This window comes from Homo sapiens, chromosome 6 (assembly GCF_000001405.40).
Source record: "Homo sapiens chromosome 6, GRCh38.p14 Primary Assembly".
Taxonomy (NCBI): domain Eukaryota; kingdom Metazoa; phylum Chordata; class Mammalia; order Primates; family Hominidae; genus Homo; species Homo sapiens.
This window is the reverse complement of record NC_000006.12, coordinates 29,847,370-29,863,213: the sequence shown is the minus strand read 5'-3', so window position 1 is coordinate 29,863,213 and position 15,844 is coordinate 29,847,370. Positions and strand designations below refer to the sequence as shown.

The 15,844-nt window shown below is 43.5% G+C and overlaps 1 long non-coding RNA gene and 1 pseudogene across 3 annotated transcripts, besides 1 other annotated feature; both read left to right on the top strand.

Annotated features, from left to right (window-relative positions):
* Positions 1-5,827: 5,827 nt before the first annotated feature.
* Positions 5,828-15,212, top strand: LOC105375010 (uncharacterized). 3 transcript variants are annotated; one of them, XR_926681.2, is made up of 4 exons: positions 5,828-5,868; positions 10,728-10,892; positions 12,585-14,158; positions 14,811-15,212. It is a non-coding gene; the product is annotated as an uncharacterized LOC105375010 (long non-coding RNA). The 3 variants fall into 3 exon arrangements; XR_926682.3 differs by lacking the exon at positions 14,811-15,212 and having other exon boundaries at positions 14,066-14,779; XR_926680.3 differs by lacking the exon at positions 14,811-15,212 and having other exon boundaries at positions 12,585-14,779.
* On the top strand, positions 9,162-11,027 carry MICF (MHC class I polypeptide-related sequence F (pseudogene); annotated as a pseudogene).
* Positions 14,808-15,102: a silencer, noted in NCBI's record as "tiled region #7378; K562 Repressive DNase unmatched - State 12:CtcfO". NCBI's record gives its function as "represses a minimal TATA promoter and a strong SV40 promoter by Sharpr-MPRA in K562 cells {active_cell/tissue: K562}" and the evidence as "EXISTENCE:reporter gene assay evidence [ECO:0000049][PMID:27701403]".
* Positions 15,213-15,844: the final 632 nt, after the last annotated feature.

The following is a 15,844-nucleotide window of genomic DNA, read 5'->3' as shown; positions in this document are numbered from 1 at the left end:
ATGACAGTGTATGATATTATCGCTGTTGGTGTTTTTTTTTTTTTTTTTTTTAGATGGAGTTTTGCTCTCGTTGCCCATGCTGGAGTGCAGTGGCACCATCTCGGCTCACTGCAACCTCCACCTCCTGAGTTCAAGCGATTCTCCTGCCTCAGCCTCCAGAGTAGCTGGGATTACAGGCGCCCGCTACTACACCCAGCTAATTTTTTGTATTTTTAGTAGAAACGGAGTTTCCCCATGTTAGGCAGTCTGGTCTTGAACTCCTGACCTCAGGTGATCCACCCTCTTCGGCCTCCCAAAGTGCTGGGATTACAGGTGTGAGCCACCATGCCCCGCCGTTGTTGCTATTTCTTTCATCCTTTTTGCTTGAGCCTCTTCTCTTCTTTCTAGGTTCCCAGGGAAATTCTCTGTTGGAAGATTATGCCTGCAAGAGGCCTCCACCTGGGAAATGCTGGCCCATGGGGGGATCTCCCTTTTATTAAATGGAATGATTGTTGGTGAAGTGACAGCTAGTGAGCCAGTGACAGTACGGTTCATGTAAAAAAGACCACATACCTAGGATTACCTCCATTTTAATAAAGACACATCCCACACATTATAAGTCCAATGTGATTTGTGAGGAGATTGCTTTGATTTGCTCACGAAAAATATTACTCTACTTTCTTTGAGAGAGTTTTGCAACACATTTCAAATCTCTGCTTCTCATTTCACACTATCTGGCTCATGAGTGAAGGTGATAAGTGTCGTACTATGCTCTCAGGTTTGTCTGTCAGAGTCATAGTCATGTATTACACATAAAGATTATTTTCTTGTTATCATTTATTTATATATATTATACTCATGGGATATAGATAGATATTATTACAGTGCTTAAATGGCTACTACTGATATCTATACATTTTCTCTCTTGGTATATGATATTAACACATAGAATTGTATACTGTTACTTTGGTTTCCAGCAATTGCTGATTAGGTCATTTGGACCACTTCTCCCATTGAGTACAACTAGAAAAATGGGAGGAAAATACATATTTGAAAAGTCTGGTTGAATTTATAGATGGGCTAGCAAAGCAGTGAAGATTTGCTTGGCCAGGAACCAGGAAGAGGCAGAAATCCAGAAGAGCATCTTGAGCTATGGGGCTGCTTTTTTGGATCAGATGCAGTGACACCTGCCTCCCAGGCAAGAAGCCAACTTCTGGGATTCAGAACTAAAGTGTCCCAATATTTAGAAGGTCTCTTGGTCTCTCTAGAGTTCAGTGCTCATTGGCCAGGGCTATGATACTCACACTCATTCCTTGGAGGAGCCAAGCTTCGGGTTTGGCTGCCTCTGGGACATTTCATGCTAGAAAAACCCCAACATGTGTAGATAAATGGTATAGAGGACACCAGCCACCCTTTGATGGAGCTCTGCCCAGTAGTGTCCCCTCACTTCCACTCAGAGACAACATGCCCATTTCACTAAATTCATGAGGACATGGCCAACATAAGTAAGAGAACACCGGGAGGTACCTTGGACAGAGTTCCATGCAGTCACAGCTTTTGCGTCTCTGTGTCTTTTCCCTTCATCTCAACCAGAGAGCATTTGCCGAGGCCGAAGAACAAAAAACTTCAAATATTGGAGCGGAATCTAAGACCACTGATCCATTGTGATCAGGAGGCTGGAGCCATGTGGTCCAGGAATAATGAAGTCTGTGAGGCCTTGGTCACCCCAAGGCTCTCTCCCATTAGAAGCTGCCTCTCACTGCTATCAGGGAGGACCCAGGAGCTGGACATGGCTTTTTTTTTTTTTTTTTTTCATTTCTGATGAGAACCTGGAGAGGTCCCAGAGCATATAGACCTTGATTGAAATGGGGCCAGAGTGGAGTCAGGCAAAAAACTCTAATGACTCAGAGGCACCTAAGTATAAAATAAAATCTCAACTCAGAGCTTCCATCAGAGCATCAGGCTCAGTATCTCCTGTGTTTGCACTGTGAGTACTGGAGCTTGATGAGAAGAAAAATAGCTACATGTGCAGAAAAACATATGTAGTTAGAAAGCTGGGTCATGGTTCAAGGTAAGAGGGACCCTTGTCTTTTCCGTGGTAGATAGTGGGGCTTTCTGCCATCTTAGTTCTGATGGACCAAGTGCAGAAGATAAACTTTCCTGCTTTCAGCTTAGTGACTGGTAATAGAAGCTGGAGTTAAGAGAATCAGTGGCAGCCTCTGTCTCCATGCCCCAGCCCAGTAAATCTAAGCCAGGACTTGGGGCTCTGGCACTTTCTTCTCACTGTGCGTCCTCCTTCTCTGGCTCAAAAGAGAACCACATGTAACAGAAACCAAGGGCTACAATTCTCATAGAACCCAGAAAACTGGACTAGGGGCCTAGAGAGTCATGTGCCTGCCATTGTTCCACCGCTTACGTGCTGTGTGACCTCAGGAGAAGCTCTCTGCTCTTTGAATCATCTGTGAATCATGGACAAACACCTCCATGCTAGCAACATTACTGAAATGCAGGGAGGAACAAGTGATTCAATTGGGAGGAAAAAAAGCAAAGTGATGACATTTACTCCTAGACAAAACTTTTTAGGAAAATGTATCTTAAAAGTAGGAGAAAAACATATAATACCTGCAATCCCCTGCAAAAGAAGCCTCTTTAGCTTACTACTTGTTCATCGTCTTTCTGTGAAATTTGGGCAAAACTAGCTGCCTCATTATCTCAAATAAATTAATGCAGTTGGCGATTCTATGTCAGTTTAGGTCTACAACTTTTGCTTTGTGTGAAACTGAAAGGGAATGGGAACATCTTCATTTTTCTGTGGTGGCCAGGGGACACTCAGAGGCTTGGAAATGACCCTATATCATCTATTTTCAATTGCCTCACTCTATCTTTTGAAATCTCAGGTAATTCATACTCCTAAAAAAATCTCATGTTCATACATAGGACAAGGTAGAAAAGGTAATATTTCTGTTTTAATTTGCTAGGGCTGCCATAACAACGTACCAAAGGCTGGGTGACTTAAATAATAAATATGTGTTGTCTCACAGTTCCAGAGGCCACAGGTGCAAGGTCAAGGTGCTGCAGGGTTGATCTCTTCTGAGGCCTCTTTCCTTTGCTTGTAGATGGCCACTTCTTCTGCCTTCTCAACATAGGGCTTCAACATGTGGATTTTGGTGGCGTAGGAACACAATTCCTCTTGTAACAGTCTGGATCGTCTTTGACAATGGATGTTCTAAAAAATAAAAGAGAGTAATAGACAGTACAACCCTTTGGCTGAAATCTTTCTCTTGGTTTTCTAAAATTTTGGTCTTGCAATAGAAAAAACAAGAAAGAGAACCAAAGTTTAGTTCTTCCCGGAAGGTGAGGCCTCCTCCCTAAGTCTGTGTAATCCCAGACACTAAGACATGGTGCTGTGCAGTTCTCCAAAGTCCTACTCACTCCAGTGATTCTGTTTCTGTCTTTTTAACTGAGCAGAAGAGTCTCTTTCAGGAGAGCAACTTCTTCTGATGCTTTATGGGCTTTATTCTCCTTAAACTTATGGAATGAAAAAGATCTTAATAAAAAGGAAAATATTTGCCAAATTTTTATCATGCTCATAATTTTTGTACCTTTTTAAATGCCCCATATTGTGTTGTTTATTTTTTAAATTTTTTAAAATTGGTACATAATATTTGTACATATTTATGGGATACATGTGACATTTTGATACATGCATAGAATGTGTGTATCAGTCAAGATATTTAGGGTATCCATGACCTCAAGCATTTATCATTTCTTTCTGTTGAGAACATTTTAAATTCACTCTTTTTTGTTTTGTTTTGTTTTTTGAGATGGAGTCTCACACCATCACCCAGACTGGAGTGCAGTGGCACGATCTCGGCTCACTGCAAGCTTCGCCTCCCGGGTTCACACCATTCTCCTGCCTCAGCCTCCCGAGTAGCTGGGACTACAGGCACCCACCACCACGCCCGGCTAATTTTTTTTTTTTTTTTTGTATTTTTAGTAGAGACGGGGTTTCACCATGTTAGCCAGGATGGTCTCGATCTCCTGACCTCATGATCCACCCTCCTCGGCCTCCCAAAGTGCTGGGATCACAGGCATGAGCCACCACGCCCAGCCAAATCCACTCTTATAGCTATTTTGAAATATACATTTTTGTTAACTTTAGTCAGTCTGCTGTGCTATCAAACATTAGAACTTATTTTCTCTATATAATTGGACATTTGCATCCATTAACCTGCATCTCTATATTTTCCCACCCCTACATTCTTCCCAGTTTCTGGGAACTGTCATTCTACTCTCTCTACCTCCCTAAGATTAACCTTTTTGGCTCGCACATATTAGTGACAACATGTGGTATTTGTCTTTCCTTGCTTGGCTTATTTCACCTAACGTAATGACCTTTGGTTACATCCATGTTTCTGCAACTGACAGGATTTCATTCTTTTTTATGGCTGAATTGCATTCCATTGTGTATATATATACCACCATTTATTCATTCACCCATTGATGAATTCACCCATTGATTTCATAACTTCGCTACTGTGAATAGTGCTTCAATAAACCTGGGGGTGCAGGTAGTCTTTTGATATATTGATTTCTTTTCCTTTATATAAATACCCATGAGTGGAGTTGTTGGATCCAATAGTAGTTCTATTTTTTGTTTTTTGAGAAATCATTATACTGATTTCCATAATTGCTGTACTTACTTTCCCAAGAGTGTACAACAGTTCCCATTTCTCCACATGCTCACCACTATCCATTATTTTTTATTTCCTATTAGTAGCCATTCTAAATAGGATAAGATGATATTTCATTATAGTTTTGATTTGCATTTTCCTGATATTTAATAAGGTTGAGTGTTTTTCGTATACCTGTTGACCATTTGTATGTCTCCTTTTGAGAAACATCTATTCAGACACTTTGTCCATTTTTTAATTGGATTATTTGTGTTTTTACTGCTGAGTTTTTTAAGTTCCTTGTATATTCTAGATGTTAGTTCCTTGCTGGATGAATACATAGCAAATATTTTCTCTATTCAACAGGTTGCCTCTTCATTCTGTTGATTGTTTCATTTGCTGTGCTGAAGCTATTTAGTTTAATATAGTCCCACTTGTCTATTTTATTTTTGTTGCCTGTGCTTTTGAGGTCTTAGCCATAAAGTCTTTGCCCAGACCCATGTCTGGAGTGTTTCCTGTAAGCATTCTTCTAGTAGTTTTATAGTTTTGGGACTTACATTTAAATCTTTAATCCATTTTGAGTTGATTTCTGTATATGGTGGGAGACAGGGTTCTAGTGGTATTCTTCTGCATCTGGTAGCATTTTCCCAGCTCCATTTATTCTCCATTGTTGCTTTTGTTCTTTCTCCATTGTATATTCTTTACCAAAAATGAGTTGGCTATCAATGCATGGATTTATTGTGAGTTCTCTTTTGTATTCCATTAGTCTATGTGTCTGTTTTTATGCCAGCACCATGCTGATTTGGTTACTATAACTTTATATTGTATTCTGAATTCAGGAAGTGTGATACCTCTAGCTTTGTTCTTCTTGCTCACGATTGCTTTGGCTATTTGGGATATTTTATGATTCCATATGAATTTCATAATTTTTTCTATTTCTGTGAATAATGATATTGGTATTTTGATAGGGATTGAATTGAATCTGTAAATTGCTTTGGGTAGTATGAACATTTTAACAATATTCTCCCAATTTATGTGCATGAAATTTATGTGTTTCATTTTTTAAATTAATATTTAACAATATTAATTCTCCCAATTTGTGTGTTTTATTTTTTTTCCTTAGAGACAAGGTCTCACTATGTTTCCCAGGCTAGTCTTGAACTCCCAGGCTCAAACAATTCTCCTGTCTCATCATCCCAAAGTGCCAGGATTACAGGTATGTGCCACTGCGCCTGGCTCTTCCAGTTTTGTGTACTCTTCAATTTCCTTCATCAGTGCCTTATAGTTTTTGTTTTACTTCCTGGGGTAAATTGATTCTTAGTTATTTTATCCTCTTTATGATTTATAAATAGTTTTGCTTTCTTGATTTCTTCTTCAGATTATATGGTGCTTGTATATATAAATGCTCTGAAAGTTTGCACATTGATTTTGTATCCTGTAATTTTACTGAATTTGCTTATTAGTTCTCACCATTTATTTGGTGGAATATTTAGATTTTTCTTTCTTTCTTTTTTTTTCTTTTTTTGAGATGGAGTCTCGCTCTGTCATCCAGGCTGGAGTGCAGTGGCGCGATCTCGGCTCACTGCAAGCTCCACCTCCTGGGTTCACGCCATTCTCCTGTCTCAGCCTCCTGAGTAGCTGGGACTACAGGCGCCCGCCACCACGACCAGCTAATTTTTTTTTTTTTTTTTTTTTTTTGTATTTTTAGTAGAGACGGGGTTTCACAATGTTAGCCAGGATGGTCTCGATCTCCTGACCTCGTGATCCGCCTGCCTTGGCCTCCCAAAGTGCTGGGATTACAAGCATGAGCCACCGCACCCGGCCAATATTTAGTTTTTTCTGAGTAAAAGATTATGCCATTTGCGAATAAGGCTAAGTTGGCTTTCTCCTTTCCAATTTGGATGCCCTTTATTTCCTCCTCTTGGCTGATTGCTCTTGCTAGGACTTCTAGTGCTGTGTAGAATAAAAGTGATGAAAGTGGGAGTCTTAGCCTTCTTCCAGATCTTGGAGGAGAGGCTATAAGCTTGTCCCTATTCAGTATAATGTTAGCTGTGTGTTTGCCATATATGGATATATCATGGTGTATTATTCTTTTGGTATACTGTTGGATTTTGTTGCTAATATTTTTAATTATTATTTTTATCAGCAACTTTATAATTTTTATTATAAGCTTTTTAAGCTTATAAAATGTACATATACCAAAATAATCAGATCTTCATCAAATTTATCAATGAATTTTGACCAATACAGCATATTACTCTTGCCACTATCAATGTACATAAAGATCCCTTTTTCTCCCTTCAACTCAGCTTCCATGCCTCCAGCAGCCATTGATCTGACGGCTGTCAGGATAGCACAGTTCTTCCTGTTTTAAAACTTCATACAAATCTACTCATCCCATATGGCCTCCCTTGTATCTGGCTTTTTGCGCTTGTTGTAATACCTATGTGATCAATCCATGTTGGTGCACGTATCAGTAGTTCTTTCATTTTCATTGCTGATAATATTCCATTGTATGACTGAATCATGATTTTTGTACATTGGCAGTTATTTCTTGTTTTTTACTATTATAAATAAAGAAACTATGAACATTTTTATGCAGGGATTATCGACAAAATCTTCATTTCTCTTGAGTATATACCTAGGAGTGGAAATGGTAGCTGTAGAGGACTAGCTTGTTTAACTTTATTAGATGATATGAAATTGATTTTCAAAATGGATGTTTTATATTCTTATAGGCAATGGAGGAGAGTACAGATTGTTCCACTTCCTTGCTAGCATTTATAGTTATTAATCATTTTAATTTTAGCCATTCTAATGGTTGCTTAGTGGTTTCTCACTGTGGTTTTACTTTGCATTTTTCCCTGAACTGGCCATTCATATATCTTCTTTTGCAATGTTTCAGATTTCTCTACAGATTGTGGAAGGTGCTAAATAAAGATGAGTCCTCTTTCTCTAGTGCTGGACCTAAAGCAGAATGTTCAGAGTCCCTCCACATATCCCAATCCAGCCAACCACATACCATGTTTGCCTCCAGAAGCTCCTACTCCTTCATCCGTCTTTCACGGTCTATCACTTCATTCTGGCTTAAGCTCACACTCCTCCAGGAAGTCAGTTACTGTGAAGGTCACTAACATGCTCAGTATTGTCATGTCTCCACCTGTCTTTACTTCTCTGTAGCTTTCCTCACACTCAACGACTCCTTTTTATTTTGCTCAATTTCTGTGGATTCACTTCACAAATTTTATTATAAGGTAGTTCTAGCTAGAAGAAAAAATAGAGAATTATAAGAAATCTTTGTGAAGCTGCCACCCAGGTTTGTCAATTTGTGACATTTTAATATTATTGGCTGTATGTAGTATACATAGAAAATAACAGAAACACGTGTAGATAGCCCTGATTTTCCACAGTTCTGTTATGCATGTGTTTCAGTCAATACTGTACTGAGCAAAGCAAGAACTGTTGGTGAATGTGTGTCTTGAATTTGCTGTATGCCCCTATATTCTTACTAAGTTTTAAAAAGTCTCTTGTTTTTGTTTGTTTGTTTGTTTGTTTGTTTTTAACATGGTTTCACTTTGTCACCTGGACTGAAATGCAGTGGCACAAACACAACTCACTTCAGCCTCTACCTGCCAGGCTTAAGCAATTCCTCCCTTCTAGGCCTCTTGAGTAGCTGGGACTAGAGGTTTGCGCCACCATGCCTGGCTAATTTCTGTATTTTTTGTAGAGAAAGGGATTTATCATGTTTCCCAGACTTGTCTGGAACGCCTGGGGTCAAGCAATCTGCCCACCTTGGCCTCCCAAGATGCTAGGATTATGGGTATAGGCCCCCTTGCCTGGCTTTACTTTTAGACTTTTTATAAATTGTTTCTTGCTGATTTTGTTATGCATTTGCTTGCTTTTTCCGTTAACATGGTCTATGAGATGGATCAATGTTCACACAAATAGTTCATTTGTTTTCATTGCTAGATAGTATTCCATGGGAGGAATATGCTACAATTTATCTCTTCCCCACTTCATTGACCTCTACATAGTCTTTATTAAAGACACTGCTGCAATGAACATGCTGGGACATTGCTTTCTGGTTCCAAGAATATGTGAGCTCCCCTAGGATATGCATGTAAGAGTGGGGTCACTGCACCCTTCCCATATGATGCTACATGATGTCAAATTGTTCTCTGAAAGAAATAATCCAAATGCCTATCAGTAGGGAGCTGGTTAAAAAGCATTGCATTCAAAAAGGGTAATCTCTATTTTAAAAAATGCATGCCTATACAGTGGATTGCCAAGAAATTTTTGAACAAAAAAAAGAAAGACATAGTGTAGTTCTTGATATTTCTTCATGGGATGGTCTCCGTGATACAATGGTAAGGGAAAACAGCAAGGTACAGAAAAGCATATGTAGTTTGCTAAAATTTGTGTGCAAAGGGAGAAAGAACATACACATATACATTTATATTTGCTTGCACAGTCACAAAATACCTTTGAAAGAATAAGCACTGCCTGATGAGTTTGGAGTGAGAGATGGTCAGGATGATTTCCCGCACAGTCAGGTTGTTTGAAGGGAGGGGAAAAGAGCAAGCAGCAAGTTTTGTGTTTCTGCAAAGACAGAGACAGTGCAGGAGACACTGAGAGCCTGGAGTGTCCGGGAAACCCGAGTCTTTCTGCCATTTCCCCACTTCTGTGTATCTGGCAGGGGGTGGTGATTTCTCATCCTTGAACCTAATTGCACTGTCAGTTGGCCCCTCAGGCCTGGGCAGATGGGATGGTTCATCCCCTGCCCTGCAGCAAGAGGGCCCTGTCCAGGAGGCACCCACAGCAGGGGCAGTGCAGGTCTGTGGTCGCTCCTGCTCTCACCTGTGGTGTCTCCTGAAGAGGGATTGTCAGTTCTGGTTCCCCGTGGGCGGGAACGGTTGCCTTGTAGGTTACTGGGGCACTGGCCAGGAAAGGGGTGTGAAAGTTATGTGCTAATTTCTCAAAATTCCTGCTTTAAATGCTGATGTCCAATAAAGATGTTCGTAGTTTCAGCTGGGTCTTAAAAGGATTTCCACCAATACTAATGTTGTAACCCATATCAAATGAAACAGGAACTCAAATGTGGAGCTCCCTCTCCAGGACGGTCCATGTGGGAGACAGTGGCTGTGGCAGTGGCAATCCCCAAGTGCAAAGGGTGGGCAGAGGCAGCCTCAGGCTGAGGGGTCTCAAGAAACTTTCTACTCCACAGGGAGAAGAAGATCCCCTATGGGCTGTGAGGGCAGTGGCTTGGGTGGAATCCCTGCTAGGAATCCCTGCTAGGAACAGGAGAGGAAGGCCTTTCAGCCTCCCCAAGCAGCAGCCCTGGGGAGAAGCTGTGCTTCCAGGGATGAGTGGACCAGGCTGGAGCAAGCATGGCCCAAGTGCAGGTCATGGGCCTGGGGGTCAGGGTAGGCTCCTTGAGCAAGGGGGTTCCCAGGGTCAGGTCAGCTGCAGACCCCATAGCAGCTACATGTTTCCATGCTGGGCCTGCCATGCTGATGGGATTCTTAATGGGCTTCCCAGTTAGGAGCTGCCTGCTCAGGGCTGGAAGTGGAGGAGCACTGAGCTGCAGGTGGAGGGCAGAACCACAGTGTTTAGGGCCTGCCTTTGTGTGCAGGTGTCTCTACAGGTGAGGTGGGACTGGGGACTGAGGAAGAGAAGGACTGTGCGTGTGACCCAGCCCAGTCCTGGAAGGACATGGAGCCAGGGCCAGAGCCTCTCTTTGGGGAGTCCTCCTGCTGTCAGAGCTGGCCAGGCTTGAGAGGAGGGGAGGGCACTGGGTTTTTCCCAGGTCTTGTCCTTTGGTCCTGGGGCTCTTTTCCTCCTTGCATGGTGGCTGGTGGGCACAGGGCAGGGGCTGATGTTGATGGAGTCACGGGAGGGGACTGGCAGGGGCTGGGAAAAGTGCCATGGGAGGGAGAAAAAAGTGCAGACATCATCTTCCCTCGGAGAAAGGGTGAATCTGATTTGGGACTGACTGAGGAGGGAGAAGTCGTCAGGGAGTAAAAAGCAGCACTGTGCACCCAGGGGAGCACTTACTATTTTTTCTCTTTTCTCCAGAGCACATGAGCCTGCAAGGCCCAGATCAACACCTGACTCAGACAGAACACCAGGGCAGTGCACAGCTGGGATTTCAGTCTCTGCTCTCAGCTCCCAGGTCCACTGGCTCTACTGAGGGCACCTACACTCTGCAGCCAGGCGGCCTGGATTGAACGCCCTGCCCAGGTCTCACCAGCACTTTTTCTCTTGCTGGCTCAGCTTTCTCATCTATGAAATAGGGAATGTAACAACATTTATTTCTTGTGGTTGGGTGGATGAAAAGTGTTAGTATATATGAGGTGTTTGCAGCTGTGCCATATTATTTTTGTTATTTTGTTATGATTTTATTATATTTTAATACATTAATGTCATGTAGTTGTATTATCACAGGTGAGCTTTATGAGTGAGTGTCCTGGTGACGGCTCCTCCGGGGAGCCAAGGACCAACTTTCCTGGCACGTTGAGGTCCCCTCGCCCTGTCACACTCTCCTGCATTACCCCATTCTACTCTGTCTTCATATTTTATACTATAGATATTTAGCTTTTAAATAGACATTTCTGGTCTGTGTTTTATTTCAAGTGTCTGGGAACGGATAGAGTTGAGGTTCAAGGGAGAATGAGAGCTCTGTCTAGATGCGTTGACATAGCACAAAGAAATCTCCCCTCCTCCCTGATATCTCCCCGCCAGTTCTCAGGGAAGGACAGATTCAGAGCAACACAGACAGGTCTGGAAAGGGATGGGGGGACATCTGAAGCAAATGTTCAGGGCCTGAAGCTGTGAGAGTACACCTGCCCTACAGAGTTGGAGCCCTCATGTGATGATGCAGAGCTGAAGTGTTATATTCTGGAGGGGATAAAAAGTGCTCTGGGGTTTCCTGATTATGAAGGGTAGGGGTCAGTCTGCTTCTAGGAGATGTGGACTGAATTAGTGAAAAATAAATGCACAGGGAATGAGGATGAGTAAAGCAAGCATCAGCATCTCCCGCCATCAGTTCAGACTGATTCGGAGGTGGGGAGGTGGGATAGTTCCTGACCCTGTTGCAAGGTTTCTTTTGACTTTCTGGTTTTGGGGCACATAGATGGGTGGTGCTCTTCTTGGTCAGGGCGGCCTCAGCTCCACCCAGGTAAGGCAGTGGTGGCAGAGAGTTAGGGGAGCACCTATGAAACAGACCAAGGCAGGGATGGGAGCCCTTGGTGCAGCAGGAGTGCATGCAGGACTTGCCTGGAAGCAAGAGTATTAGGGACCCTAGTCAGGTCCTGGTCCCCTCCCTGCCTAGGCTCACAGGACAACCAGTAAAGATGCTGGAGTGGGGAATTCATTCATGGGCTATCTATCCAGAGTTGTTTATAGACATATTCTTTCAAGTTTGTATTCAGGGTTGATGTCACATACACATTTATACATGCTGTTTTATGTTTAAGTGTTTTTATATTTTGGTTAGCCCTTTATCATTGTTAAACAAAGTTGTCATTAGGCATAAACTTGCATGTTAACTGAAGCTTTTGTTTTTATTTTATTCGAAGTTACAATTGCACATAATGGAAAGAGTAAATATTTGTGCAGGACTTTCTGAGAAAAATGAGAGTCTTCTCTGCCTTTCTAGGGAGAGTCCTCTCTTCTCTATTTCTGCCTTTCTAGGGAGCAACCACTTTCAAGTTTCAGCTGATTCTTTTGACTTTACTTTCACATATCTAAGCACCAAAGCACCATTTCTTTATTAACATTGCTTGATTTTTCAGTTGCAGCCATTGACTATTGCACTGCACGATGGTGGAATCAATAGTTAAGATTACTTGTTCTCTTTCTTTTTGTATTTTTTTCTTATTTTTTAATTTATTTAAATAAATAAAAATATTCTACCTCCCCAAAACCCCTCAGGACCCACACACAGGCACTGCAGCAGCGACAGGAGGAGGGGGCGCTGGGAACAGGAAGGACACCACCGCTTGGCCTCCGGCACCGGAGGGACAACCTGGAGGGCTCCGGGAGCACCGCAAAGGTCCAAGCGGAGCCAATCCTCACAAGCCCAGGGAAGGGCAACGTGACAGGCCGGCGGGACAGCCCCACCGCCGCGAAGAGGGGCTGCCCAAAAGGCAACAGCCATAGGAGATGAGCAGGGGTGCCTGCTGCGTCGGAGAACTCATCTCCCCAACCCCACCGACGCCACAAGGTAGAGGGCGAGGACAGCGAGGTCGGCCGGATTCCGCACCCCTGCCTCCAACCACCGCCCATGGGCGGGGAGGAGAGACTACCGACCGCAAGCGGAACGCAGAACGAGAAGAGCCGTCCCGTTAGCCATGAATGTGTCCCTCATCTGTACCGCCTCCGGCCCCGCCCGGGAGAACGCGACGTCACCACATCCATCACTTGTTCTCTTTCACTCTTCCCGTTCTTTCCTTTTCCCAGTATATTTATATAGTAATTATGTTTAATTCAGCCACTCCTTGTTTTTTTCCGTGACTCATCTTCTCATATGTCAACTTGACTACTTTTCACTTGCTTCGTAGTATTTGTTCTTCCTCAAGTTAATACTTGCCTTTGTTTTTGTTTATGTTCTAGATAACTCTCATTAATTTAACTTTGATATCTGTTCCATTTCTGTGACTCTGTTAAGAAATTAGAGACTTTGAACTTTCTATTAATTTTACTTTCTTGGAAATGTCCCTCTTGGGCCCTTCTGGCTGCTCCCATCTGGACTGGAGGCTTCTACCTGTGGGACAGAGTCACCTTCCTAGGATCTCCCTCCACCACCATCTGGGGCGGTGCTTTACATGCAGTGGAGCCACCTGGGGTCCTGACAAATGCAGACTGATCAACCTGTCAAGGCTGGGCCTGTGAGCCTTTCTGTCCAGTTTCATGAGATGCTGGTTCTGCTGGTTCATGGATAATAGCTGGGGTAGCAAGGATCTCTCTTTTTGTCTCACAGTTTTCTGCATCTCTTTTTCATAGTAAGCACATGCTAATATATTTTCAATAAATTCATGTGCTCTTTTCCTAAGTTGGTATCAGAGCTAATTATTTTTTTCATTGCGCCAAAATCCATATTATATAAAATTTGGTATCGTAACAATTTTTAAGTATAGAGTACTATAATATGAACTGTAGCACATTGTTATGCAACAGATCTCTAGAACTTTTCATCTTGCAAAACTGAAACTCTACGCTGAAAATCTCCTCAAGAATCCCCCCAGCCTAACCACTGGCAGCCGCCATTCTACTTTCAGGTTCTAAGAGTTTAGACGCCGCATATAACGAATTGCGCAGTATTGGAATTTCCTTGTGATTGGCTTATTACACTTAGCATTGTTCTCCAGGTTCATCCATGTTGCAGCATGTAACAGAATTTCCTTCTTTTTAAGGTTGAATCATATTCCATTGCCTACATAGACCACATGTTCTTCATCTATTCATGTGTTGATGGGTGCTTTGTTTGCTTCCTTGTCTTGGCTATGGTGAGTAATGTTGCTGTGAATACGGGTATGCAATGTTTTTCTTTTTTACAGCCTCCCTCATTTCAGTGGAATTAATGTTTTAGTAGCTACTTCTGATAGCACATATTTAAAGTATTTTTGCATGCATCAATGTGTCCATTGTTGTTTTGATTCTCTCCTGGAAGAGGATGGAAATGTATGAAGGTGCTGTTTGGCACAGTATTTAATGGTGAAGAAGAGACGGTGTAACTGACCAGTGCTGGGTCTCAGCATCCTGCAATTTCAGAACTACTGTGAATGCAAAAATAATTAAAAAAACCAGTGCTGCCCAGAAAGGGGGAGTCATCCCTAAATATGGCGGCCCTGGGACAGCTGGCCTCCCTGCCAGGCCTCTTCCATGGGGGCCCTTTTCTGCAGTGACTGGGATTTCTTTCCATTTCACTCTACCCTGTGTCCTGACCCAAGAGACAAGGCATGTCTGCAGCTGTGCCCACACTTGGAGTGTGTCAGTACATTATAAACACTGGCTCAGTGGTGTTAGTACATTATAAACATTGGCTTATCATGGGTTATTTTATTATTTATTGTGTATTTTGATTTCACTTTACTGGCAACACAATAAACAATGACATGATGACCCTAGCAATCACATCCTCTTTCTTGTGTCAAAAAGCACCTTCCAGGAACGTGAGAAGGAGACAGTTTTCGCTACAGTTGATTAAGGGAGAGCCCGCTAGGCTGGGCAGGAGGATTTTTACCGGGAACCTGTGCGATGAGCTGTGACATCCTTCTCCCCACCTTCAATCTCAGCCCCAGCAGGCACCTCCTGGGCGCAGAAGCAGTGCAGCGGCGCCACCTGGCGGTCTGCACTCTTCCTTTCCCAGATCAAGCACAGCCCTGAAATCCACCTGTCCCTCCTCTGTGCCTGTGATTTCTTCAGGGGACACCAGCGTGGGTCAACTTTCTTGTAAAGCAGAACAAGCGTGAGATTGGACCATGTTACAGGAGGAATGGTGTCATCTCTACCTGTGGAGAGATCCCTGTCACCGTGTTCAGGGGAAGGACCGAGCCTCACTCCCACGCAGAGAGGAGGCTCTGGTTGTAACTGCTCCAGTGGAGAGATGAGGACCTCCTCCCTCTGCACTGATGGCCAAAGCCTGCAGACTGGGCCAGGCTTCCCCTCAGCTATGTCCTGTCAGGTTCATCCAGGACTCAAAAAATAAACTGTGGACATTGTCTCCAGCGACGTGGAGCTGAATGCACACTCAGTAATGAGACAGCCTTGCCAGGGGTCCTGGGGCTGCCGGTTGTTCTGGGTGCTCAGTGTCCAGAGAGGAGGATGGGGAGGAGGCTTTGTGCAGAACAGGAACCGTGGAGCTGGATGCACACTCAGTAATGAGACAGCCCTGCCAGGGGTCCTGGGGCTGCCGGTTGTTCTGGGTGCTCAGTGTCCAGAGAGGAGGATGGGGAGGAGGCTTTGTGCAGAACAGGAACCGTGGAGCTGGATGCACACTCAGTAATGAGACAGCCCTGCCAGGGGTCCTGGGGCTGCCGGTTGTTCTGGGTGCTCAGTGTCCAGAGAGGAGGATGGGGAGGAGGCTTTGTGCAGAACAGGAACCGTGGAGCTGGATGCACACTCAGTAATGAGACAGCCCTGCCAGGGGTCCTGGGGCTGCCGGTTGTTCTGGGTGCTCAGTGTCCAGAGAG